Source organism: Homo sapiens, chromosome 13 (genome assembly GCF_000001405.40).
Source record: "Homo sapiens chromosome 13, GRCh38.p14 Primary Assembly".
Classification (NCBI taxonomy): Eukaryota; Metazoa; Chordata; class Mammalia; order Primates; family Hominidae; genus Homo; species Homo sapiens.
The window spans coordinates 110,768,035-110,793,778 of record NC_000013.11 but is presented as its reverse complement, the minus strand read 5'-3'; the positions used below and the strand labels follow the sequence as shown (position 1 = coordinate 110,793,778).

The 25,744-nt window shown below is 42.1% G+C and overlaps 1 long non-coding RNA gene across 4 annotated transcripts, besides 1 other annotated feature; it reads right to left on the bottom strand.

The window, feature by feature from the left end:
• Window positions 49–549: an enhancer, noted in NCBI's record as "H3K4me1 hESC enhancer chr13:111445577-111446077 (GRCh37/hg19 assembly coordinates)". NCBI's record gives its function as "activates a minimal SCP1, AML or CMV promoter by ChIP-STARR-seq in primed H9 embryonic stem cells {active_cell/tissue: H9 hESC(primed)}" and the evidence as "EXISTENCE:reporter gene assay evidence [ECO:0000049][PMID:30033119]".
• Window positions 15,434–22,435, bottom strand: LOC107984613 (uncharacterized). Of its 4 annotated transcripts, XR_001750024.2 has the most exons (4): window positions 17,733–22,435; window positions 17,042–17,149; window positions 16,162–16,208; window positions 15,434–15,653 (listed from the first exon to the last, which is right to left on the bottom strand). It is a non-coding gene; the product is annotated as an uncharacterized LOC107984613 (long non-coding RNA). The 4 variants fall into 4 exon arrangements; XR_001750023.2 differs by having other exon boundaries at window positions 16,162–17,149; XR_001750022.2 differs by having other exon boundaries at window positions 15,434–16,208.
• Between the last annotated feature and the right edge of the window lie 3,309 nt (window positions 22,436–25,744).

The following is a 25,744-nucleotide window of genomic DNA, read 5'->3' as shown; positions in this document are numbered from 1 at the left end:
CCTTTCTGCAAGTGAGTCATCCCAACGAGTGTGCAGCCCTCAGCAGAGAGGAGGCCCACAGAGGGTAGCTCCTTTCCACAGGCTGGTTGTCCTGACTAGTCAAGGAGACCTGAAGTGGTTAGCTCTGTCCCACAGCTGGTAGTCCCAAAGTCTCTGAGTCTGGCTGAGTCCAGGGTTTTTATGGGCTTCAGAAGGGAGGAAGTGCATGCTGATTGGTCTATGGGTGGCCATGGTGGGCCAGAGAAAGCACTGTAAGTTCTCACTCCGGGCTGTGGACTCCACTCCTAACTGACAGCCAGCCCCCATGCTTCAGGCTATCCCTGGCTTGAAGGTGGAGCTTCACCAGGGACCCACCCCTTTCTGCCAAGGAGCCTGTCTGCCTCCTGCCACCATCAACATGTTGTCCACGTGCTCAGGCTGTTTGTGCTGAAAGGATGCCCACAGGTCCATATTGAGGTGCCCTCAGCACCTCCTCGACCTCCCTCCCATACTTGTTGGCACCCAAAGCTCGGAGGAGGCTAAGACAGCAGGGGGCTGGCATGACAGCACAGCTCTGAGTGTGCGCAAACCCAGCCAGGTTGTGATAGCACCCAGGCTTGGCCACAACTATGCTTCAGCCCTGAGTGGGTACTGGGAGCAGGGAGAGGCCAGGTGGCAGGAGCAGGCACTTTGGAGCCTGTGAAGGAAGGTGGCTTCCTGGGCCCTCAAGAGCTCAGGGATACCTGGGTCTGGAGCCATGGCTGGGCAGGTGCAGTTGCACCCAGGAGTGCAGGCCTCCCACCCTGCCAACTTGGGAGGGAGAAGGGCTCCCACCTGTTCCCAGCTCCCACCAACTTCACAGAGCATGCAACCCTGGCCATGCCTCCTCTGCTTCAGGTGGCATCTTTGCAGCAGCCACTCCAAATGGGCCACCGCTGCCCTCACTAACACTAGACCAATTTGAAGCATGCAGCACACCATGGATAACCATAGCAATGACAAACCTCAACTCCAGCTGAACTACTGACTAGACTAACCCAAACCACCACCCTAAACACCTAGCCAAAGTAAAGACATTGTCATTTTCTAACTTTAAAGTACTTTCCTTAGTTTCTGACCTCCCATTCAAGATGTCTAGCATTCAGCACAAAATTATGAGGAATACAAAAATGCAAGAAAACAATACACACCTAAAAGACAAAGCAGTGAGCAAAACCAAATAATTCAGATATGACACAGATGTTGGAACTAAATGATGGGGAATTTAAAATAACTGTGATTAACATGTTAAAGGCCCTGATGAAATAGGAAGACAATGCAAGTTCAGAGGGGTAATGTTATAGGCTGGGTGTTTTCATTCCTCCCAAATTTATATGTTGAAGCCCTAACCTTCGATGTGACGACATTTGGAGGGAAGTCTTTGGGAGATAATTAGGGTTAGATTAGGTAATGAGAGTGGGGCCCTTGTGAGGGATTACTGTCCTTGTATGAGGAGAGCAAGATCCGTCCCTCATTTCCTTCCTCTCTCTCCATGTGCATGCACCAAGGAAGGCCACGTGAGAGTGCAGTGAGAAGATGGCCACAGGCAGCCAGAAACGGAGCCTTCACCAGGAGCAGAACAAGCTGGCATCTTAATCCTTGACTTCCTAGCCTCCTAAAGTGTGAGAAATAAATTTCTGTTGTTCAAGTCATCTAGTCTATGATTTTTGCTATGGCACCCTGAGATGACTAAGACAGGTAATTTTAGCAGAAATAAAGAGTGCTGAAAATTGAATAAATGAAGATAAAATAAAATTCATTTTTTCTTGTTTTTGAATCCTCCAAAAGATAGCTGATTATCTAAACCAAAAGTAGTAGTAGCGTATTGTGTGCTTATTTATAAAATATAATAGCACCAATGATGGGAGAGAGGAATTAGGAACAAAGAATTATAAGATTCTTACACTACACGTGAAGTTGTAGACACTATAAGAAAGGACCAATTGGAAATGCTAGATATAAAAAGTGTCATAATAGAGATGAAGAATGCCTTTGAGGACCTCAGTAGCAGAACTGACACAGCCAGGGAAAGAATCAGTGAGCTTAAAGACAGGTAGAATTACCCAAACTGAAACACAAAAGAAAAATGAGTAAAAGAAAAAATGGAACAGACAATCTAAGAGCTGTAGGAAAATGTCTAACAAATGTATTATTGAAATAGCAGAGGGCAAACAGAGAAAGAAAATGAGACAGAAGAAAATTCAAACAAATAATGCTGAATATTCTAAAATTACTGACTGACAGTAAAGCATATTTCCAAGAAGCTCAAAGATCACCAAAAAAGATTTAAAACAACAATAACTAGGTATATGCTATCTAAACTGCTGAAAACAAAAGGCAAAGAGAAATTTGCAAAGGCAGTGAGAGAAAAAAAAGAGATCTAACATACAGAAGAACAAGCAAAAACTGCAACAGACTTCTCATCAACAGCCATGTAAGTCAGAAGACAATGGGTGATATTTTTAAGTGCTAAAAGAAAGAAAACTGTAAACCCAGAATTCTATACCCAGCAAAAAATATCTTTCAAAATGCAGAAGAAAAACAAAAACTGAGAGAATTCATTGACAGTGATATATACCACAAGAAATGTTAAAGGAAGTTCTTGAGACAGAAGGACTATGATATCTGCGATTGACAGAATGTCCCCCCACCCAAGATGTCCAGGTCTTAATTCCTGAATCCGTGAAGAGGGTATGTTATGTGGTAAAAGGGAATTTGCAGATATAGTTAAGATTATGAATTAAATAGGAAGATTATACTGCATTATCAGTGTGGCCCAACTCTAATTACAAAACCCTTTAAAAACAGAGAACTTGGCCAGACATGGTGGCTCACATCTGTAATCCCAGCACTTTGGGAGGTTGAAGTGGGCCTACTGCTTGAGCTCAGGAGTTCCAAACCAGCCTTGGCAACATGGTGAAACCCTGTCTCTACAAACAATACAAAAAATCAGCCAGACATGATGGTGCATGTCTGTAGTCCCAGCTACTGGGAGGGCTAAGGTGGGAGGATCGCTTGAGCCCGGGAGGCAGAGGTTGCAGTGAGCTGAGATGGGGCCACTGCACTGCACTCCAGCCTGGGTGACAGAGCAAGACTCTGTCAAAAAAAAAAAAAAACAACAAAAAACAGAGAACTCTCTTTAGCTGAAGGCAAAGAGATATGGCAAAAAGAGGGAAGTCAGAAATTCAAAGCATGGGAGGAGCTTGATCTTTCATTGCTGGACGGAAACTCATGGCAAGCAGGAGAGAGAATGTGAGCAGCCTCCAGGAGCAAAGTCCAGCCCCTGCCTGACAGCCCACTGGGATCTGGAACCTCAGTCCTACAACCACAGAAATTACATTTGGCCAGCTACCTGAATGAGCTCAGAAGTGGATTCATGCAAATGACAGCCTTCTGAACCTGCATGGAAAGCTGTGAAATATTACATGAAGCCACACTCTGAGTAACTAGGGATGTGTATTGTAAGCCCTAGGGCAACCAACCACTAAAGATTTTCTTGAAGGTTTATAAATAATAAGTCAACAGTGGAGATATATTGAAATTATAAAAGTGTTAACTAAGACAAAAAGGGAAAAGAAGCAAAGACAGATGGAATGAGTGAGTAGAAAATAGCTAACAAGATGGCAGATTTTAATTCAAACACATCAATAATGATATTCAACATGCATGGTCTAAGCGCACCAATTAAAAGACAGAGACTGCCAGCTTGGCTAAGAAGCAAACCACAACTATATGCTGTTTTCAAGGCCCATTTTAAGTATAAGAATGTAATGTTGAGGAGGAGAAAAGCTATTGGCAGAGACAAGATACGCTTGTTGTAAATTTTTGTGAACACAAAAAGAAGACATATTGTGTGTAAGGCTATATGGGCCTGTCTGTTTTTATGCAGCAAAATTATAATAATATTGACTGAACAGAGATACACAGTGATCCCTCTGTGGAGAGGAGGAGACTGAGCTTGGAAAAAGTCACCAAGGAGGTTTCAACTATATAATTACCAGTAATGTTTTATGTATTTTATTTTTAAACTAAAGTAAATATGATTCATCATTAACATTTTTTAATATTCAGGGTAGGGAGCACAATAATATTTATTATATTTATTGTAGGTTAAGTTGTATTGATATCTTTTATTCATACACATTTTAGTGTATATTACAAAAAAGTAAGAACTCCTAAAAATAAAAATATGATCATCAAACAAAGTTAACAATTGTTCCTTAGAATCATCAAATATCTAATCAGTGTTTGAATTTTCAGTTGCATCATAAATGTTATAACTTCTTTTAACAGTGTGTTGTTTGTTGGTATTGGGATCTTAATCAAGTCCAGATATTCTGAATGGTTCTTAGTCTTTCAATATATACATCTTTCAATTTTACAATTTATTTTTTCCAGGAAACTAAGTTACGAGTTATAGTTTCGATGTATGTTCACTGCTGACTTATGATTTATAAACCTTCAAAAAAAGTTTTTTAGTAGTTGCCCTAGGGCTTATAAAACACATGTGAGCTTCTAACTCTTGGTACCTCAGAATGTGTCCTTATTTGGCAATAGGTCATTGCAGATAAAATTAGTTAAGTAAAAATAAGGTCATACTGGAGTAGGGCTGTGCCCAACCCAATATGACTGGTGCCCTTACGAGAAGAAACACGGAGACAGGCAGAACAGAGCGAAGGTTATACGAAGAGACAAGGGAGGAAGCCAAGTGACGGCAGAGGCAGAGACCGGAGCGATGCATTTAAAGCCAAGGAACGCCAAGAGGGGCCACAGCCACAGAAGGTAAAATAGGCGAGGACGGGGCCTCCCTAGAGCCTTCAGAGGGAGCACAGCCCCGCGACGCCTTGACTTCAGACTCATGGCTTCTAGAGCTGGGAGACAACCCACGTCTGCTGTTTTAATGTTTTTTTATCCAAAATAAGAAAACAAAGAAAAGCAAATGGTTCTTACTATACATGCTCTTTAGCACTTGTTAATATTTAAGAATATATGTTGGAAATATTTCCAAGTAAGTGTGGCTAGAGCTGCATCATGTCCCACTATATGGAAGCACCATAGTGATTTAGTCAGTTCTCTATTGGTGGACACATTATTGCTCCCTAGTTGTTGCCATGTGAAGTATTTGTACCTCTGGATGGAAGAATGGCCTACTCTTTTTTTGTTGTTGTTGTTGTTGAGACGGAGTCTCGCTCTGTCCCCCAGGCTGGAGTGCAGTGGCGCGGTCTCAGCTCACTGCAAGCTCCGCCTCCCGGGTTCATGCCTTTCTCCTGCCTCGGCCTCCAGAATAGCTGGAACTACAGGCGCCCGCCACCACGCCCGGCTAATTTTTTGTATTTTTAGTAGGGACGGGGTTTCACCGTGTTAGCCAGGATGGTCTCCATCTCCTGACCTCATGATCCGCCTGCCTTGGCCTCCCAAAGTGCTGGGATTACAGACGTGAGCCACCGCGCCCGAAAGAATGGCCTACTCTTATGTAGCCTTGTCAAAAAACAAAAACGTGCATCTGAATCCAACTATCAATTTACAGAAAATCCCAGGGACAAAAGAATACATCAAATGGAAAGTGAAGATGCAACAAGCAAAATCCAAAGTGTGAGAAACTCCATAGGGCAAATAACTTAGTTTCTTGAAAAAAAGTAAAGATTTATGGATTGAAAGACTAAGAACCATTCAAAATATCTGGAATTGATTAGGACCCTGACACAAACAAACAACTGTTAAAACAAGTTACATTTATGATGCAATTGAAAATTCAGAATCTGATTAGATATTTGATGATACTAAGGAATAACTGTTACTTTAAGTTTGATGATTGTATTGTTGTTTTTAGGAGTTCTTACTTTTTTGAAATATATACAAAAATGTATACGGATAAAAGATGTGAAGTCTGTGATTTGTTTCAAAATATTACGATGGACTAAAAGTAGTGAGGAAATCGACAAACTGAGATTGCTTGCAAGTTGATAATTGCTAAAGTTGGGATACAGACACTCACAAATTCATTATTATTTTTTCTATTTTTGAATAAGGTTAGCATTTTCCATAATAAACAGGTTTTAATGTTGTTTCAGTGAACATACTTGTGTTCATACATCTGTTGCCATTTGTGTGATTAAGCCTGTAACATAAATTTCTGAAAGTGAAAATGACAAGTCACATTAATTTCAACGTTTATAGATTTTGTCAAATTGCCCTCCACAAGAATATACAAATATATATTCCCACAAGGCAGGAGCATGGGTGAGAATGGTAGGGCATGCAGGAAATCTTTATATATTAGAGACACTAAGCGTTTGTCTGTGACACTACCTTTCTTGTATAAGGGTAAATGCAAAACAAAAACTATTTAAAAATTAATTTTTCCTACTACAAAAAGGGGTAAGAGATTCCCCTCTCCCTTTTCTTAAAGCATTTACTTTAGACAATTTGTTATTTTACATTCTCTCTCTGTCTGTTTCAGAAGTGTGTAGCTATTTTTTAAACCTGTGTTAGTCATTTTGCGTTGCTATAAAGGAATACCTGAGGCTGGGTAATTTATAAAGAGGCTTATTTGGCTCACAGTTCTCCAGGCTGTACAGGAAGCATGGCTCCAGCATCTGCCTCTGGAGAGGCCTCAGGGAGCTTCCGATCATGGCGGAAGGCAAAAGGGAAGCAGGCTCATTACCTGGTGAGAGCGAGGGCAAGAGAGAGATGCCAGGCTCTTTTAAACAACCGGCTTTCATGTGAGCTACCGGAGTGAGAACTCATTCATTACCATGGGGAGAGCACCAAGCCATTCCTGAGGGCTCTGCCCCTAAGACCCAAATACCTCCCACTAAACCCCACCCCCAACATGGGGGACCATGTTTCAACATGAGATTTGGTGGGGACAGACATCCAAACTATATCAAACCTAAATAAGCTTCTTGCCAGCATTACAACCCAGGAATGTCTTTCCCAAGAACCTAGAAGCCATCTCTTTGAAATGCATCAAGGAAGAGAGCAGTCCCTCTCCCAGTTTCCATGGGAGAGCAGGAGCTGACTTGTGGGTGCCTGGCTCCCAGCTGCAAGCCTCTCTCCTGTCATGAAGATAGGAGAAGTTTTCTTTTTCCTTTGGATAACTACAATTAGCAAACACAGATGGCCACCCAGTTACCAGGTGAGCTGAAGATGAGCTAAGTGTGGCAAGTGGTGCTGTCAAGTCCTCCTACCTTGTTTCTACTGAGAACATGAATGTGCAGGTTGTATCGCCTAGAAGGAAAGGGGGAGATTTCTTTCCATCTTTGCCATCTCTTGGCGAAAGCCTGTGATGCACATCACATTCTGGTTTCATGCTTATTCAATTAAAAACACTGTTTTTCTTCTCTACTTTCTACTTTTGTGGCACGATCTTCTGGGTTGGCAAGACACTTTGTTTTTCATTACATTTTCCCATAAGTTGGTGATATTTTTCCATGAAGATCTTTTTAATTTTTTATGAAGTTGACTTATCAGTCTATCACAGCTCCTGCTATCAAATCTTATTTTTAAAGAGAAGTTTTTTTCTTTCTCCCCTCAACAATTTTTTTCTAGTTACAAAAGTAATACATACTCATGGAAAGTGCAATCAACACAGACATGATGTATTGATAAATGATACAATGTATGAGGATAGAGGGCATCTGCCTCATGTCTCAACTCTAGAACAACAATGACCAGCTGGGGGAAAGGCTTCCCATCCTCTGTCATACACATTTTTCAAAAAAAATTGACTGTATTCTCTGTATTATTTAATAACAGCTTTATTGCAATATTATTCACATATGATAACACTCATTTTAAAGTTTGAAATTCAGTAGCTTTTAGTATATCCAGAGAGTTGCATGATATCCCACTATCTAACTTCAGCACATTTTCACCCCACAAAGAATCCCCTTACCCTGTAGCAGGAATGCCCACTCTCCCTTACCCCCATCCCAAGTCCTAGGCAGCCCCTAATCTGCTTTCTGTGTCTATGGATTTGCCTATTCTGGACATTTCATACAAATGGAGTCATAACAACACGTGGGCTTTTGCCACCGGCATCCCTCCCTGAATACTATGTTTTCCAAGCTCCTCCATGCCATGGCATGGGTCGGTGCTCCATCCCTCTTTATGGCAGGTAATATTCACCAGATGGACAGACCACACTTCATTTATCCACTCACCAGTTGATATGGTTTGGCACTGTGTCCCCACCCAAATCTCATCTTGAATTGTAACCATGTGTCAAGGGAGGGAGGTGATGGGATCATGGGGGTGGTTTCCCCCATGCTGTTCTCATGATAATGAGTAAATTATCACAAGAACTGATGGTTTTATAAATGGCAGTTTTTCCTGCGCTGACACCAACTCACTTTCTTGCCTGCCGCCATGTAAGATGTACCTACTTCTCCTTCCATCATAATTATAAGTTTCATGAGGCCTCCCCAGCCATGGAGAACTGTGAATTAATTAAACCTCTTTCCTTTATAAATTACCCAGTCTGGGGAAGTTCTTTATAGCAGTGTGAGAATGGGCTAATACACCAGTTAATGGGCATTTGGGTTGTTTCCACTGTTATGAATAAGGTTGCTATAAACATTCATGTGCAGGCTTTTGTGGGGATATATGTTTTCAATCCTTGTGGGTATGCACCTAGGATTGGAAATGCTGGGTCATATGCACTGTGTGTGTAGCTGTCTGAAAGCTGCCAGCCAGCTTCCACAGTGGCTGCACACATATTCATCTGTAGCTTTTTCTTTTCTCGCAAATGTTCATGTCAGAGCAGTAGATTCTCCTCACTCTTTTTGACAGCTGCACTGTATGCCATAGTGTGAATATGCTGTACATTTCGTCAACAGTCCTTGAGTCATAGATAGATTGCTTTTTAATTGCTTACTGCTATAAATGATGCCTCAGTGATTTGAACACACATTCTTGGACAGTGGTGCAATGGTTTCAGCAGGACAGAAACCTAGAATGACTGAGTTAAGGGTGCATTTACAATTTTGATAGCTACTGACAAATAGTTTTCAAGTTCTTTATGACTTAAAGTTTCAGATGGCTTGAAAATTCTCTCACTATGAAGCCCAGGCTTTAATCCTGAAAGTGAATTGAGATTAATCAATTGTCATGATCTGACCATGGTTATTCAGAAACTTTGAATAAGTTCATGAGAAGATCATTCTGATCTGAATACAGGTTTCAAGAAACTCAACTGGAAGCTAAAATGTTATGCAATTCTAATATTCTGATATTAGGCTGTACATTAGGTGAGAAAATACTTGTTCTTGAAGGGAAGTTACAGTGTTTTGATTCTGAGTTAAAAAGCTAGAGAAACGGTGAGCCCATGATCATGAGCCTCTCAGGCATGGAGCGTGTGCACCAACAAAACCCGGCTTGCAGAACAATGCTGCTTGTTGTCACATATCATCTGCCTGACAAGCAAGACACAGTCACACAGCACTCTGCACTTACACACCCAACCTGTCTGAAGCACATTTGGGATTTTCCACCAGGGACTGTATTTTGGACCCATGAGGTATTCTAATAGTTGTAAAGCTTCTTTCTTTGAAATTAAGTTTTAATTTTTCAGTGACTCAAAATAACTAAAAACAAAGACTAATAAATAAAGTGATTTATTATACAGAATGAGGCACTTTCTTTGGGACAGGAGAGGGACTTTGATAATAGGGGAGGCTGTGCACATGTGTGGGGAGCAAATATGGGAACTCTCATATACCCCTAAATACACCTCAATTTTGCTGTAAACCTAAAGTGCTCTAAGAAACTAAACATTTTTTAGAAGAATGGTGTTTTGAACGCTGGCCTGAAGAAATTTTCCGAGAAAGAACTCCAAAAGCATTGATCCTGGCAGCACCATGAGGTAAATATGCACCTTGCAAGCCAACCATCTGGACAAGAACACGGTGACTTGGATGGGTCTGTACCAGCACATTTGTTCAAAACCACCTTTACTTTTTGATACGGTTTGACTCTCTGTCCCCATCCAAATCTCATCTTGAATTGTAATCCCCATGTGTCAAGGGAGGGACCTGGTGGGAGGCAATTGAATCATGGGGGTGGTTTCCTTATCATAGTGAGTGAGTTCTCATGAAATCTGATTAAAGTGTGGTATTTTCCCCTATTCTCTCTCTCCCTCTTTCTCTCCTGCAACCATGTGAAGAAGGTCCTTGCTTCTCCTTTGCCTTCCGCCATGATTGTAAGTTTCCCAAGGCCTCCCCAACCATGTGGAACTGTGAGTCAATTAAACCTCTTTTCTTAAATTACCCATTCTCTTGTAGTTCTTCACAGCAGTGTGAAAACAGACTAATACAGGAAATTGATACTGGGAGCTTGGGGAGCTGCTACAAAGATATTTGAAAATGTGGAAGTCACTCTGGAATTGGGTAACAGAGGTTGGAACAGTTTGGAGGGCTCAGAAGAAGACAGGAAGATGTGGGGAAGTTTGGAATTTCCTAGAGACTTGTTGATTGGTTTTGACCAAACTGACCATAGTGATATGAACAATGAAGTCCAGGGAAGTGGTCTCAGATGGAGATGAGGACCTTCTTGGGAACTGGAGCATACGTTACTCTTGCCATGCTTCAGTAAAGAGACTGGCAGCATTTTGCCCCTGCCCTAGAGATCTGTGGAACTTTGAACTTGAGAGAGATTATTTAGGGTATCTGGCTGATATGGTTTGACTGTGTCTCCACCCAAATCTTATCTTGAATTCCCATGTGTTGTGGGAGGGACCCAGTGGGGGGTAATTGAATCATGGGGGCAAGTCTTTCCCATGCTGTTCTCATGATAGTGAATAAGCCTCATGAGATCTGATGGTTTTTAAAGAGGAGTTCCCCTGCATAAGCTCTCTCTCTTTGCCTGCTGCCATCCATGTAAGATGTAACTTGCTCCTCCTTGCCTTCTGCCATGACTGTGAAGCCTCCCAGCCATGTAGAACTGTAAGTCTATTAAACCTGTTTCTTTTGTAAATTGCCCAGTCTCAGGTCTGTCTTTATCAGCAGCATGAAAATGGACTAATACACTGGTAGAAGAAACTTCTAAGCAGCAAAGCCCTCAAGATGTGACCTGGCTTTTTCTGAAGGCATACAGTCATATGGGTTCACAAAGAGATGATCTGAAATTGGAACTTATGTTTAAAAGGGAAGAAGAGGATAAAAGTTTGAAAAATTTGTAGCCTGACCCTGTGGTAAAAAAGAAAAACCCATTTTCTGAGGAAAAAGTCAAGTCACCAGCTGCAGAAATTTGCATAAGTAAAGGGAAGCCAAATGTTAATAGCCAAGACAATGGGAAAAATGTGTCTAGGGCATTTCAAAAATTTTCAAGGCAGTCCCTCCTATCACAGGCCCAGAGGCCTAGGAGGTAAAAATGGTTTCATGGGCCAGGTCCAGGGCTCTACTGCTGATCTGTGCAGCCTCAGGATTTGGTGCCCTGTGTCCCAGCTATTCCAGCTACAGCCATGGCTAAAAGGGGCCAAGATACAGCTTGGGCCATTGCTTTGGAGGGGGCAAGTCCCAAGCCTTAGCAGCTTCCACATGATGTTGGGCCTGCAGGTGCACAGAAGGCAAGAGTTGAGGTTTGGGAGCCTCCGCCTAGATTTCAGAGGATGTATGGAAACACCTGGATTTCCAGGGAGACTTCTGCTGTAGGGGGTGGAGCCCTCATGGAGGACCTCTACTAGGTTAGAGCAGAGGGGAAACATGGGGTTGGAGCCCCCACACAGAGTCCCCACTGTGGCACTGCCTAGTGGAGCTGTGAGAAGACAGTCACCATCCTCCAGACCCCAGAATGGTAGATCAACCAACAGCTTGCAATGTGCACCTGAGAAAGCCACAGAAGCTCAACACCAGCTCATGAAAGCAGCTGTGGGGGTTGTACCCTGCAGAGCCACAGATGTGGAGCTGCCCAAAGTCTTGGGAGCCCACCCCTTGCATCAGCATACCTTGGATGTGAGACATGGAGTCAAAGGAGATCATTTCAGAGCTTTAAGATTTAATGACTGCCCCACTGGGTTTTGGACTTGGATGGGGCCCGCAGCCCCTTTGTTTTGGTCAATTTCTCACTTTTGGAATGGAAGCATTTATCCAATGCCTGTACCCTCATTGTATCTTAGAAGTAACTAACTTGTTTTTGATTTTACAGGCTCATAGGCAGAAGAGACTTGCCTTGTCTCAGATGAGACTTTGGACTTGAAGTTTTGAGTTAATGCTGGAGTGAGTTAAGGCTCTGGGGGACTGTTGGGAAAGCATGATTGGTTTTGCAATGTGAGAAAGACATGAAATTTGGAAGGGGCCAGGGGTGAAATGATATGGTTTGGCTCTGTGTCCCCACCCAAATTTCATCTTGAATTGTAATCCCCAGCCAGGCTTAGTGGCTCACACCTGTAATCCTAGCACTTTGGGAGGCCAAGGCAGGTAGATTGCCTGAGCTGAGGAGTTCGAGACCAGCCTGGGGAACATGGTGAAACCCCATCTCTACTAAAAATACAAAAAATTAGCTAGGTGTGGTGGTGTGTGCCTGTAATCTCAGCTACTCGGGAGGCTGAGACAGGAGAATCACTTGAATCCAGGAGGTGGAGGTTGCAGTGAGCTGAGATTGTGCCACTGCACTCCATCCTGGGCAACAAGAGCGAGATTCTGTCTCAAAAAAAAAATAGAATTGTAATCCCCATATGTCAAGGGAGGGACCCGGTCGGAGGCAATTGCATCACGGGGGCAGTTTCCCCCATGCCGTTCTCATGATAGTAAGTGAATTCGCATGAGATCTGATGGTTTAAAAGTGTGGCACTTTCCCCTTCATCCTCTCTCTCTCCTGCCACCATGTGAAGAAGGTCCTCACTTCCCCTTTGCCTTCCACTATGATTGTAAATTTCCTGAGGCCTCCCCAGCCATGTGGAACTGTGAATCAATTAAACCTTTTTTTCTTCATAAATTACCCGGTCTTAGGTAGTTCTTTATAGCAGTATAAAAATGGACACTTTGTTCCTTTTTTTATATTGAATATGGTCAGTAGACTCCTAAGTAATGGGGATTAAAAATGTGTAAATGAGAAATTTCTGCTTCCAGTAATGACTGAATGGGTAATTTGGACCAGACTCTCTGTGGAGCACTACTAGAAAAGCTGGCAAAACATGCAAACATCTGCTCTGTGGTACGGGTGTGTAAAATGGTCAGGCCAATGAGTAGGCCTAGGGAGGGGAATCTGGTGCTCAGGAAGTTGAAAAAACGTAAAATAAACACAGAGAAGCTAGATGGAAGAACATAATAAAGACAATAATAGAAATTTAAAAATATTAACACTCAGTAAAGAGAATCAAGAAAACTAAAACTTGGTTCTTGCAGAAGTCTAGCAAAATAAATAATCCTCTGGCAAAAGTGACCAAGAAACAAGTGGCAGGGAAGTGGGGGTGGGGGACACAAAATAATATTCAACATCAAAAATGAAAAGGGAGCATATCTACAAAGCCTGCAGAATTAAACATGGCAACAAGAGGATGTCATGCGTAATTTTATAATTATTTGAAAATTAAATGAAGTAGACAAGTTCCCATAAAGTTACAACCTACTGTTGGTAGAACTTAACCCTTTACTGTTCGCCTGAGCATACTCGCTGGCTATGTTTGTGGCTGCAGCATTTACCCCGAGATAATTCTCCACAAAATATCTCACTTTTATTATTATCTTTGCATAGCTCGAATGTATCAACTTTGGAAACAAAATACATCATTCTATTTATAGCATTCTGCTTTTAGTAGTGGTATTTTCCATTTACAAAATACAATAATCCTCAATTGCTGAAAATGTCAAATCCTAGAAAATGTAGAATTCCTACACGTGATGTTAACGTGGTTCTCACAGTTGTTGCTGAAGATTCATTTGATAAATCCGATTTTTCTAAAATAGATGATTCTGATGATGCAGATGATTCTGATGTTAGTTCTGTTTCGAAATAACTCCAAGAACAGTTTTTATATTTTATTTTCACATTGAAAATCATTTAGATTTGCTCCAGCCTCAAAGAGCGTGTTTATGTAAAAGCAAATGAGCGCTGGCAGTGAGCTGGACTTTATTTTTCTAAATGGAAAAGGGGTTAACTTACTTATGACTTCTACCAAACATTTAAGGAAGAAGCTAAAGCCAGTGCTGGGAAAAGAGGGGCCTGATCTCCGCTCGTCTTATGAAGCCGCAAGAGCTTTGATACTTAGTTCTTACCGTAAACTAAATGTTTGTGTCCACCCAAAATTCATACATTAAACCTAATCACCAATGTGATAGATAATGTTCAGAGGTAGGGCCTTTGGGAGGTCTTGAGCTCATGGGGCAGATTCCTTGTGAATGGGATGAATGTCCTTATAAAAGAGACCCCAGAGAGCTCCCTTGCCCCTTCCACCATGTGAGCACACAGCAGGAAGGCTCCATCTATGAACCAAGAAGCCCTCACCAGACACAGACTCTGCCAAAATAATTAAACCTCAGTCTGGGATTTCCCAGCCTCCAGAACTGTGAGAAATAAGTTTCTGTTGTAAAAAGACACCCAGTCCATGGTATTTTGTTATAGCATCTGGAAGACATTTAGACAGTTCTATACACAGTATTAACCAATTTAACTCAGCAGTAAATAAAAAGCGTAACACATTGTGATCAACCGTTGCTTATAGCAGAAATGCAAGGTTGTTTTACTATCCAGCAATCCGGCTGGGCATAGTGGCTCATGCCTGTAATCCCAAAACCCTGGGAGGCCAAAGTGGGAGCATCACTTGAGGTCAGGAGTTCGAGACCAGCCTGGGCAACATAGCAAGATCTCATCTCTACAAAATGTTTTTAAAGTTAGCCAGGTTCAGACCCGGTGCAATGGCTCAGGCCTGTAATCCCAGTGTTTTGAAAGGTCGAGGTGCAAAGATCACCTGAGGTCAGGAGTTCAAGACCAGCCTGACCAACATGGTGAAACCCCGTCTCTACTAAAAATATAAAAATTAGCCAGGCATAGTGGCAGGCACCTGTAATCCCAGCTACTCTGGAGCCTGAGGCAGGAGAATCGCTTGAGTGTGGGAGGCGGAGTTTGCAGTGAGCTGAGATCGTGCCATTGCACTTCAGCCTGGGCAACAAAAGCAAAACTTCATTTCAAAAAATAATAATACTGATAATAATAGTGATAAAATAAAATTAGCCAGGTTCAATGGCATGTACCTGTAGTCCTAGCTACTCAGGAGGCTGAGGTGGGAGGATTGCTCGAGCCCACGAGTTCAAGGCTGCAGTGAGCCAGGGAGCTATGACTGTACCATTGCACTACAGCCTGGGTGACGGAGTGAGACTCTGTCTCCAAAAGTAAAAAGACAATCAATATAATTGCATACATTAACAGAATAAAGGAGAAATATCATATGATTAGCTTAATAGATGTAGATATAAATAGATGCCTTCATTAAAAGTCAACATTTATTAATGATTTCTAGAAAATCTCATAGTAAACTTAAAATGGAAAGAAACTTTTATAATATGACAATAAGTATTTACAGAAAAAAAGTCTACCACAAACGTACTCAATTATGAAATGCTGAGAGCTTTCCCTTGAAGACTGTGAGAAGATAAGAATGCCTTCTCTCTCTTTCTCTTTTCAGCCTTGTTCTGAATGTCCTGCCAGTGCAGAAAGGTGTGAAAAAGATGCTAAATGTTTAAGTATCAAAAAGGAAGAAATAAAACTGCCATTTTCTCAGGAAATATAATTGCGTGTGTAGACCATCCAAAATAATCTACGAATAAATTATCAGAACCAGTAAATTGGTTTATTAGACATAAGACCAACAGGCAAAAATCAACTATATTTCCATATATCAATAATAAACAGTAAGAAAATCAGTTTTAGAAGAGCTAAAACAAGTTAAAATAGTATTGAAAGAACATCAAAAAGTTAGGAATAAATCTGATTGACACACAGTATCTCTAGATGGAAAACCATAAACTACAAGAGTGACAAATTGAAGAAAACCTCATAAAATGGAGAGTTTAACAAGAGGAAGCCTCGTTTTTGTAAAACTATCAACACTCCCTAAAGTATTCTACAGGTCACTGAAATCCCACCACAATTCAAACAGATCTGTTTGTGAAAAATGACAAGCTGTTTCAGAAAGCTTACGTGACTCACAGATCTTGGTTTTTGAACATCATTCTTCACTCTCAGGAACCTGGACTCTGTGGGAAAGAGGCTGACTTCAGGCCAGGCATGGAGAGAGAACAAAGTGGGCCTGTCACACCCTGGACAAAAACAATGATGAGGCAGGTCCAGAGGACATGGCACCAGTGTGTGGGACTCTCCTGCCTCATCTAGGACAATGCAAGCAGCAAAGTCCCCTAAGTTCACACTGATCAAAGTAACTAAACCAATAAGGGAGGGCCAAAGAACTCTTCCTTATCATAGAGAACTGTTTCCTAGGGCTGCTGTAAAAAACACCACAAACCCAGTGGCTTCAACAACAAAAACGTATTGTCTCACAGCTCTGGAGGCTGGAAGTCCCAGATCAAGGTGTCCGTAGGGTTGACTCCTTCTGAGGCTGGGGGATTATCTGTTCAAGCCTCTCTCCTTGGCTTGTAGATGGCTGCCTTCTCCTGGGCCTTCCTATCATCCTCCTTGTGTGTGTCTTTCCACCTAAATCTTCCCTTATTATAAGGACCCCTGTCTTGTTGGATTGGGGCCCACCCTAATAACCTTATTTTATCTTGATCACCTCTGTAAAGACCAAACTCCAAATAAGGGCACATGTTGAGGTGCTAAGAGTTATGAATTTGGGTGCTAGAGGTTATGAACACACAATTAACCCATAACACCAAGGAATAAATGTAGGAACAATGGGGTTAGAAAAATCATCATTTGAAAACCACCATGTTAACAATCAACTCAGATTAGAATCATCAACAAATGCTAAAACTAATGGATTAAAGAATGATGTGTAACAGTATATTTACATAGTATCAAAGTATCTCCCTCTCAGAATAAATACTAATTACAAAAGCAAAAAAAATATTACCTGTACAGAAAAGAGGACTGTCAGACATCTCCTTAACTGTGTGGCGCTGGGAAGCATGTGTTCCTGACGTTGCTCTGAAAAGGGCATCATCTCACTTCTGTGGTTCTCCTGCCAGAAATTCACAACCTCAGTTTAATCAGGAAGAAACATGAGACAACCCCTAGGTGAGGAAATGCTACAAAATCGTGGTCAAAATGTCAAGGTCTCAAAAGAGAAAGCCAGACTAAAGAATCCCCCAGATTAAAGAAAACTGAAGAGACCTAGGAAATAAGTACAACATGTGACCCTGGACTGGATCCTGGAGCAGAATGTTTTTGCATAAAAACATGTTATTGGAACAATTGATTGGTAAAACAATAAATAAAGTCTGAGGAATAGAAAACAGTATTGTACATGTATTATTTTTACATTCTTTTTCTGATTTTGATAACTGTGCCTGTAGTTACTAAGAGGATGTCTTTACTCTTAGTGCATACTTACTGGAATCTTTAGGGATAAAGGAACATCATGACTGTGACTTACTCTGAAATTGTCAGAAAAATAATGTGTATATTACATACATATGGAAGGAGAGAGACCATAAAGCAAGTATCAGCAATTGGCGAATCTAGGTGAAGTATCTACAGAAATTCTTTGTGCTATTCTTGCAAATTTTCTGTAAGATTCAAATTATTTCAACGTAAAAACTTACCAAATTTTTTTAAGTGAGTTATACAAAAATGCAAAGGCCTGGAAGAGCCTTGCAGGATCCAGGCAGGAGCTTGCTCTGCTGGGCAGTCGCACTGCCCAGAGCTGAAGGTCAGAGATGCCGTGGTGGAGGTGGAAGACCGTCTCAGCATGTCCTAGCTGTTATGACACAACACCACAAACCAGGTGGCTTCTAACCACGGAAATGTATTTATCGCAGTTCTGGGGACTGGGAAGTGGAAGATCAAGGTGCTAGCAGATTTGGTGTTGGTGAAGCCTGGTTCCTGGTTCAGGGAAGCCATCTCTTTGCTGTGACCTCACATGGCAAAAGGGATGTGGGAGCTCTCTGGGGCCTCATTTACAAGGGCACTAATCTCATTCCTGAGGATCTGCCCCCATGAACTCCTCCCTCCCAAAGGCCCCAGCTCCTCATTCTATCACATTGGGAATTAGATTTCAGCATATGAAATGTGGGAGGACACAAACGTTCAGACCATAGTGCAGACAAATAAAACACTGAAACAGAACAGACTCCAGAAACACACTGCATGGATGGCCTCCAGGGTTGTGACAGAGGTGGCCCCGCAGAGTGCAGGGAAAGGCAGGACTTCTAATACATGTGATGGGACAATTAAGTATTTATATGAGGTGAAAGAAAAGAGAAAGAGGGAAGAAAGGAGAGAAAGAAAGAGAAGGAAGGAAGGAAGGAAAAGAAGAGGGAGAAAGAAAGATTTAACCTCCACTTGCCTCCATACATAAAAATCAATACCAGCTTACCAAAATGTGAAAAGTGAAACAGTAATGTTTTGGTAAGAAAACACAGCAAAATACCTTCATGACCTCAGAGTAGGGAAGGACACTTTAAGCAGACACAAAAAACTCTACCATAAATGAAAAAGTGCAATTTTGGATGACATTTTAATGAAGAACTCTGTCCTTTATAAGAAGCCTTAAATGAGCAAAAAATCCAAGCCATAGAGTGGGAGAAGATATTTAACTGACAAAGAGATTGTATCTCAATGATACGAAGAACTCCCACAGATATGAAAATAACAGACAACCCCATAGAAAACCAGGAAAGACCTTCACAGGTGCTTTGCCAAAGAGAGTATTAAAGTTGCCAATCGCATATAAAAAAATTCTCACCCTCATTAAGATGAAAATGATTACTTTGAGATTCTACAACACACAGAGAATGGATAACATTAAAAAGAATGACGGTAATACATTGCTGTGGTCCAAATGTGTATTTCCCACCAAGTTCATTTGTTGAAATCCTAACCACCAATTTGACGGCATCTGGAGGTAGGGCCTTTGGAAGGTGGCTAGGTCATGAGGGTGGAATCCTCGTAAGTGAGATTAGTGTCCTTATATAAGGGTTGAGGGCCAGGCACAGTGGCTCACGCCTGCAATCCCAGCATTTTGGGAGGCCAAGGCGGATGGATTGCCTGAGCTCAGGAGTTCGAGGCCAGCCTGGGCAACATGGTGAAACCCTGTCTCTGCTAAAAGTACAAAAATCATCCAGGTATGGTGCCACATGCCTATAATCCCAGCTACTCAGGAGGCTGAGGCGGGAGAATCACTTGAACCCAAGAGGCAGAGGTTTCAGTGAGCAAAGATCATGCCACTGCACTCCAGCTTGGGCAACAGAGCGAGACCCTATCTCAAACAAAAAAAGAAGTGGAGGGGCTTGAGGGAGCCTGTTTGGTCCTTTATCCCTCATGCCATGTGAGGACACAGCAGTGAGGCACCATCTATGGAGCAGAGAGCAGCCCTCACCAAATGGCCTGCTGGTGCCCTGATTTTAGACTTCCCAACCTCCAGAACTGTGAGCAATGTTTCCATGGTTATAAATTACCCAGTCTAAGATCCTTTGTGATAGTAGCTTGAATGAACTATGACACACCTGTGGTGAGGTTGTAGGAAAACAGAAGCTTTCAGACACTGCTGGTGGCCTGTAAATTGGACTACCACCTTGGAAACTGTTTGACTCTACCTACAGAGGTTAAAGATACACACACCCACTTTCACAGCAATTTCCCTGCTAGGTAAATGCACAGCCAAGATTCATGAACATGTGTACCAGAGAAGGGCACTTCACCTCTATTGTGTTATTTCCAAGAGCCCAGAACCCCACTTCAATCGTGAGAAAACAGACAAACCCAGATTGAGGGACATCCTACAAAATACTGACCTGTTCTCCTCAAAACTGTCAAGGTCACTAAAAAGCAAAGAACATCTAGAAAACCGTCACAGACCAGAGGAGGCCAGGGAGACACGGTGACTATACATGAGGTTTCTGAATGGGACTGTGACACAGATAAAGGACATTTGTGAGAAGCTGACAAAACCCACATGACGTGCAGAGTGCATGGTCCATAGCAAGGTGGCATCACTGGTTTCTCGATGCACGATGATAACATAAGATGTTGCCAACAGGGGAAATGGGGTGTGGGCTCTCTATGCGAGAGCGCTCTGTACTATCTTTGCATCCTCTTTGTAAATCTAAATTCATTCAAAACTTAAAAATTTATTTTAATAACAGGTTAGTGGGCATCCACCTGTGTATAATTGGCTGTTCTCTTTGGGTCTAACTTAAGGAGACATTTTCTTTTCTCTCTCCACCTCCACCAATGTTGTGGATTATCTATTCAACGAAATTTCATGGAAATGTATTCCTCATCTCACATTGAGATCCATCCTAAAAGGATGAATCTATAGAAGGGATTTCCTACCGGCTTACATTGAGATGCCATTTCTGTTTCTCTCACCCTGGTGAACCTTCATGGCTTGAAGGAAAGGGGCAGAAACATTTATGGTGAGACTAGTGGAGCGTGTGGGGATTAGAGAAAGAGTTTTCCAAATGGAAAAGGTCTAAGAATTCTGATCAGTAAGAAAAACAGTAGAATTAAGGACATGGACTTTAAAGAAATACATAGCAACCTGAAGGTTTAAGCCATCTAAATAATTATAATTATTTCCCAGAGCAAAAATGTAATAGACAGGCCCATCTGTCTGAATCAACTTTTACAAAACCCAGGGAAGGATTTCTGGTCTGTTTTTTCTGTATGGAAACTCAGCCACAGAGCTCAAATAATTGCAGCTCCCAATACTGTAATCCTGCAGGGGCCCATTTGGGAAGTCCCTTCCAGTCACGGAAACAACAAATCAGGCTTTATACTGAATCCGATTTCCTTTAATGTGTGGTCATTTCCCAAAGGGATCAATCAGGCTCAGAAATGGCCACAGCTGACTGGGCCATGCTGAAGTCTGACCGGTCATCAGCACAAGAAAGGCTCCGTGTGCTCAATCCCCGACCTTGAGTCCCAATCCTCCTGTCTTGTCCAGCAGTCCCTGTTGGGGGTTTAATGATCAAATCTGACAGATACCACACCTGAGCACGCTGGGCAAAGGCGCCATCCCCAGATCACTTCAGAATGAGGAAACTGAGCTCAATTTTCAGTTCGGGGCCAGACAGAGCAAAGCATAGCCAAGAGAGGCAGAATTCTCTTTCCACTGTTACTTGGACTTTTTCACCCAAAAAGGAAGATCTGGCAAATTAATTTGCATCACGTGCCCTTGCAGGGATGCAGAGGTGAAGGATTTTCCTTGACTTCTGTTGCCATTGAGATACCTTCCATTAAGTGCTGCTTACAGATTCACAAATCTTTTACAGTCACATGACAGTGGATGAGGAGCCTTCTGTGGCTGATGTTTCATCTGTACATTCCCCGAGAGGGCAGCTGCAAACTTGAAACTGGACTTGCTCCAGTGGTTCCCAACTGTGTGCTAAGGAACACTGGTGAGACCATGGACTCCCAGGAGTGCCACAGGACAGTTTCTGCTTTCAGAACACACAATCACATTCCCGGAAACTAGTAGGCGATGCCATATCTTTGTGGAGCTGGGTTTTCCTCAGCTGCTACAAAAAAAACGAGAATCAAACAAAAGTCAAGGTGGACCAGGAAATGAGGGTGACTGTGTCCAGCGATTCCAGAGACGGGGGAATTGTGTGTGACCAGCAGGTGTGCTCACTCATGAGCCAGTGGCCCTGGCTATTTAAGGATGAAATGAAATATTTTCTTTTAGTTTGATTTACGTGTGTTATTTTTGTATATTATACCTGGTTGTGAGGACATGGATATTTATTAAGTTGTCTGAGCATTATTACTTAGTAAACAAAACTGTTAGGTATTACTTTTATCCAAGGGGTGCCACGAGAAAAGCTGCCATGCCCTAAAAGGGTGCCCTGACTTAAGTAACCTTGGGAACCTCTGGAGCAGGCAATGTTGTCCTCAAACAAAGGAGGTGAAACGACTTGCTTATTTCTTTTTGAAATTCTTCCTATTATTTTCTACAAGTTGAACGGCTCATTGAGCTTTAGCCATCTGTATCAAAACCTCAAAAACATACTTTAAAATGTTATTAAAGAAAAACATCTTTTTAAAATGGAAAACATTCCCCGTGACTAAAGAACGATATTCAGTATCAGATTTGCAATTTCAATTTCCCAGTCCTCTATTAACTGATGGTTGCGTTGGCTGGCCACTTAACCGGAAGTTCCTTTTGCCATAGATCAGCACATCCTTCCTTGTCACATTAACACTCCCTTAGACGTCAGGGGCAGCAGGAAACTCCCCTGTAAGGGCAAGGTTATAAATGAAAAGCAAGCGCACACACACACAAAAGCAGCCCAGTGGCTGGGCACAGTGACTCACGCCTGTGATCCCAGCACTTTGGGAGGTCAAGGTGGGTGGATCACTTAAGGCCAGGAGTTCAAGACCAGCCTGGGCAACACGGCAAAACCCATGTCTACCAAAAATACAAAAATTAGCCATGCGTGGTATTGTGCACCTGTAGTCCCAGCTGCTTAGTAGGCTGAGGAGGGAGGATCGCTTGGGACCAGGAGTTTGAGGCTGCAATGAGCCGAGATTGTGCCACTGCACTCCAGCCTGGGCAACAGAGAAAGATACCGTCCAAAAAAAAAAAAAAAGCAGCCAGAAACCATTTAGTGACAACTCAATTAGTGAATTGTTTGGGGACAAAAATCTACGTGAAAACATTGTCTCTGATTGAACAGAAAGAACCAGAGAGGGCAGCAGACACCTCATGTCATGTCCACAGTCCTGCAAGTCATGAGAGCTGGGGCTGACCGGGGACTGAGAGCTCCTCTCCCACCTCCAGCCTCCACACACCCCAAACATGAATGCGAGCAAGACTGTTGCCTCACCTGCTGAGCCCGTCCCCGTCAAACTCACACACACATCTGCGCCAATGACGAGAACCTCAATTTCCAGTACATTCTACTCTACACTACTACTGCCGACTAAAAACGCTCAAAGCCATCTGAATTCAGTCACAGAGGCTGATAGATTCTTTCCAATTTTCTAGGCTCTGGCTTATGTCCCTGACAAGAAAAACACAAACTTCTAAACACCTGAGCAGCTCCTCAAACCATCCTGGTAAGGGATGAGAAGCTTCCACAGCCCACCCCTTACTCCTGAGCAGCTCCCCTAACCACCCCTTATGCCTGAGCAGCTTCCCTAACCACCCCTTATTCCTGAACAGCTCCCCTAACCACCCCCTTACCCCTGAGCAGCTCCCCTAACCGCCCCCATTCCTGAACAGCTCCCCTAACCACCCCCTATTCCTGAGCAGCTCCCCAACCACCCCCTTACGTCTGAGCAGCTCCCTAACCACCCCCTACCCCTGATCAGCTCCCCTAATCCAACCCTTACCTCCTGAGCAGCTCCCCTAACCTACTCTCTTAACCCTTGTGTGGGAGTGGCACCTCTTTAATTGTGAAAGGTAAGCAATCTCCCAAAATGAGATTTTCTTTTCCCTAGGGAGATAGACTCTTAGGAAGTTTGCAAAGACAGGCATGAAAGATAGAAGTCAACTACAGAGCAAGGAAAACGTTAAAGAAGCAAGATCAGAAAAAAAAAAAAGTGATTTGGTAGGCCGGGTATAGTGGCTTAAGGCTTTAATCCGAGTGGTTTGGGAGGCTTGAAAAAGAGTTCAAGGCTGCAGTGAGCTATGGTCACACCACTGCACTCCAGCCTGGGTGAGAGAGACAGACCCTGTTTCTATTTTTAAAAAAAGAAGTATGGGGGCTAAGCTATGAGGATGCAAAGACATAAGAATGACATAATGGACTTTGGGTAATCGGGTAGAAGGGTGGGAGCAAGGTGAGGGCTAAAAGACTACACATTGGGTGTAGTCTACACTGCTCGGGTGATGGATGCACCAAAATCTCAGAAATCACCACTAAAGAACTTTTCCATGCAACCAAACACCACCTGTTCCCGAAAACCATTGAAATAAAAATAATAATCATAATAATAAATGTTTTGTTTTAAGCAAAAAAAATTTCAAAGATGAAAAGTTATTAGTCCTTCCCAAGTATAATAGTTCATTTCCAAGGGGAAATGAACAACTATGTTCATACAAAAAGTTTTACATGACTGTTCATAGCAGTTTTGTAATACTCATCTCAAATAAATATTAGAAAACAACCCAAATATCCAACACCAGGTGGTAGATTCATACAATGGAATACTATTCCACTATAAAAAAAAAAAGAAATGGACTAAAATGCATGCAATAACATCGATGGATATCCGGAGAATCATAATCAGTGAAAACAGCAAAAACAAAAGGCTATGTACTGTATGATTCCATTGATGAGAACACCTAGGTAGGCAGAATTGTAGTGACAAAGTGGATGAGTGATTGCCCAGGGCCAGGTGTTGGGGAGAGGGACTCTACCACGGAGGAGTTAACAGGAATTACTCAGAGGCATAGAACCATTCTTTATCTTCACTGTGATGATGGGGACATGACTGTATCCAGCTACCAAAATTCATTAAACTATTCACCTAAAATAAGTCAATTTTAATGTGTTTAAATTATGCCTCCAAAAATTATTTTTAAAGTAATTGGCTAACATTTGTTAAAAGAAAAATGTTTTTATTCAAGATGCTATTTATTTATGATTTTAATTAATGAGCTTTATTTTTAGATTGGCTTTAGGTTCAAGGGTGAATTGCGTGGAAAGTACAGAGTTCCCATATGCCTGCTGTCTCCGCACACACGCCACCTCCCTGGCACTGTCAAGATCTCGCGTCTCCGTGGCATATTTGTTACGTTCCATAAATCCACACATCATTAGCACCTAAGGTCCATGACTTACATTAGGTTTCACTCTTGATGTTGTACATCTATAGGTTTGGACAAATGTATAACGACATGTACCCACCATTGTGTATCATGCAGAACAGTTTCACTGCCCTAAAAGGCATCTGTGCTCAGTCCGCTCGCCCCTCTCTCCCCTGTAACACCTGGTAACCACTGATCTCTTTATTATCTCCATATTTTTCTTTTGCAGAATGTCGTATAATTGGCGTCATACAGTCTGCAGCCTCTTCAGATTGGCTTCCTTCTCTTAGTATGCATTTAACTTTCTTCCATGTCTTTTCAGGCTTGTCGACTCATTTCCCTTTAGTGCTGAATAGCATCCCATTGCCTAGATGTACCACAGTTCATTCACTCACCTACTGAAGGACATCTTGGTAGCTTCCAAGTTTTGGCAATTATAGATAAAGCTCTATAAGCATTGTGTGTAGGTTTTTGTTTGGACATAAGCTTCCAATTCATTTGAGTAAATACCAGTGAGCATGACTACTGGATCCCGTGGTAAGAAATGTTTAGTTTTGTAAAAAACTGCCAAAGTGTCTTCCAAAGTGGCGGTACCATTGTGCATTTCCACCAGCAATAAATAAGAGTTCCTGTGGCTCCATGTCCTTGCCAGTAAAAAAAAAATAAATATATATATATAAATTTAAAAATTAAAAAACAAAATTAAAAAAAGAGGTAGAAAGCTAACCTGGCCATTTTAGACAGAGAAAAAATGTATCTTAGAGGAGAGGAAGATATCAAATTTACTTAAAATTAAAAGGAGAAAGTCAAGATAAAACAGAAATATGTCATGAAATTTATATAAATAGAAAATGGGCC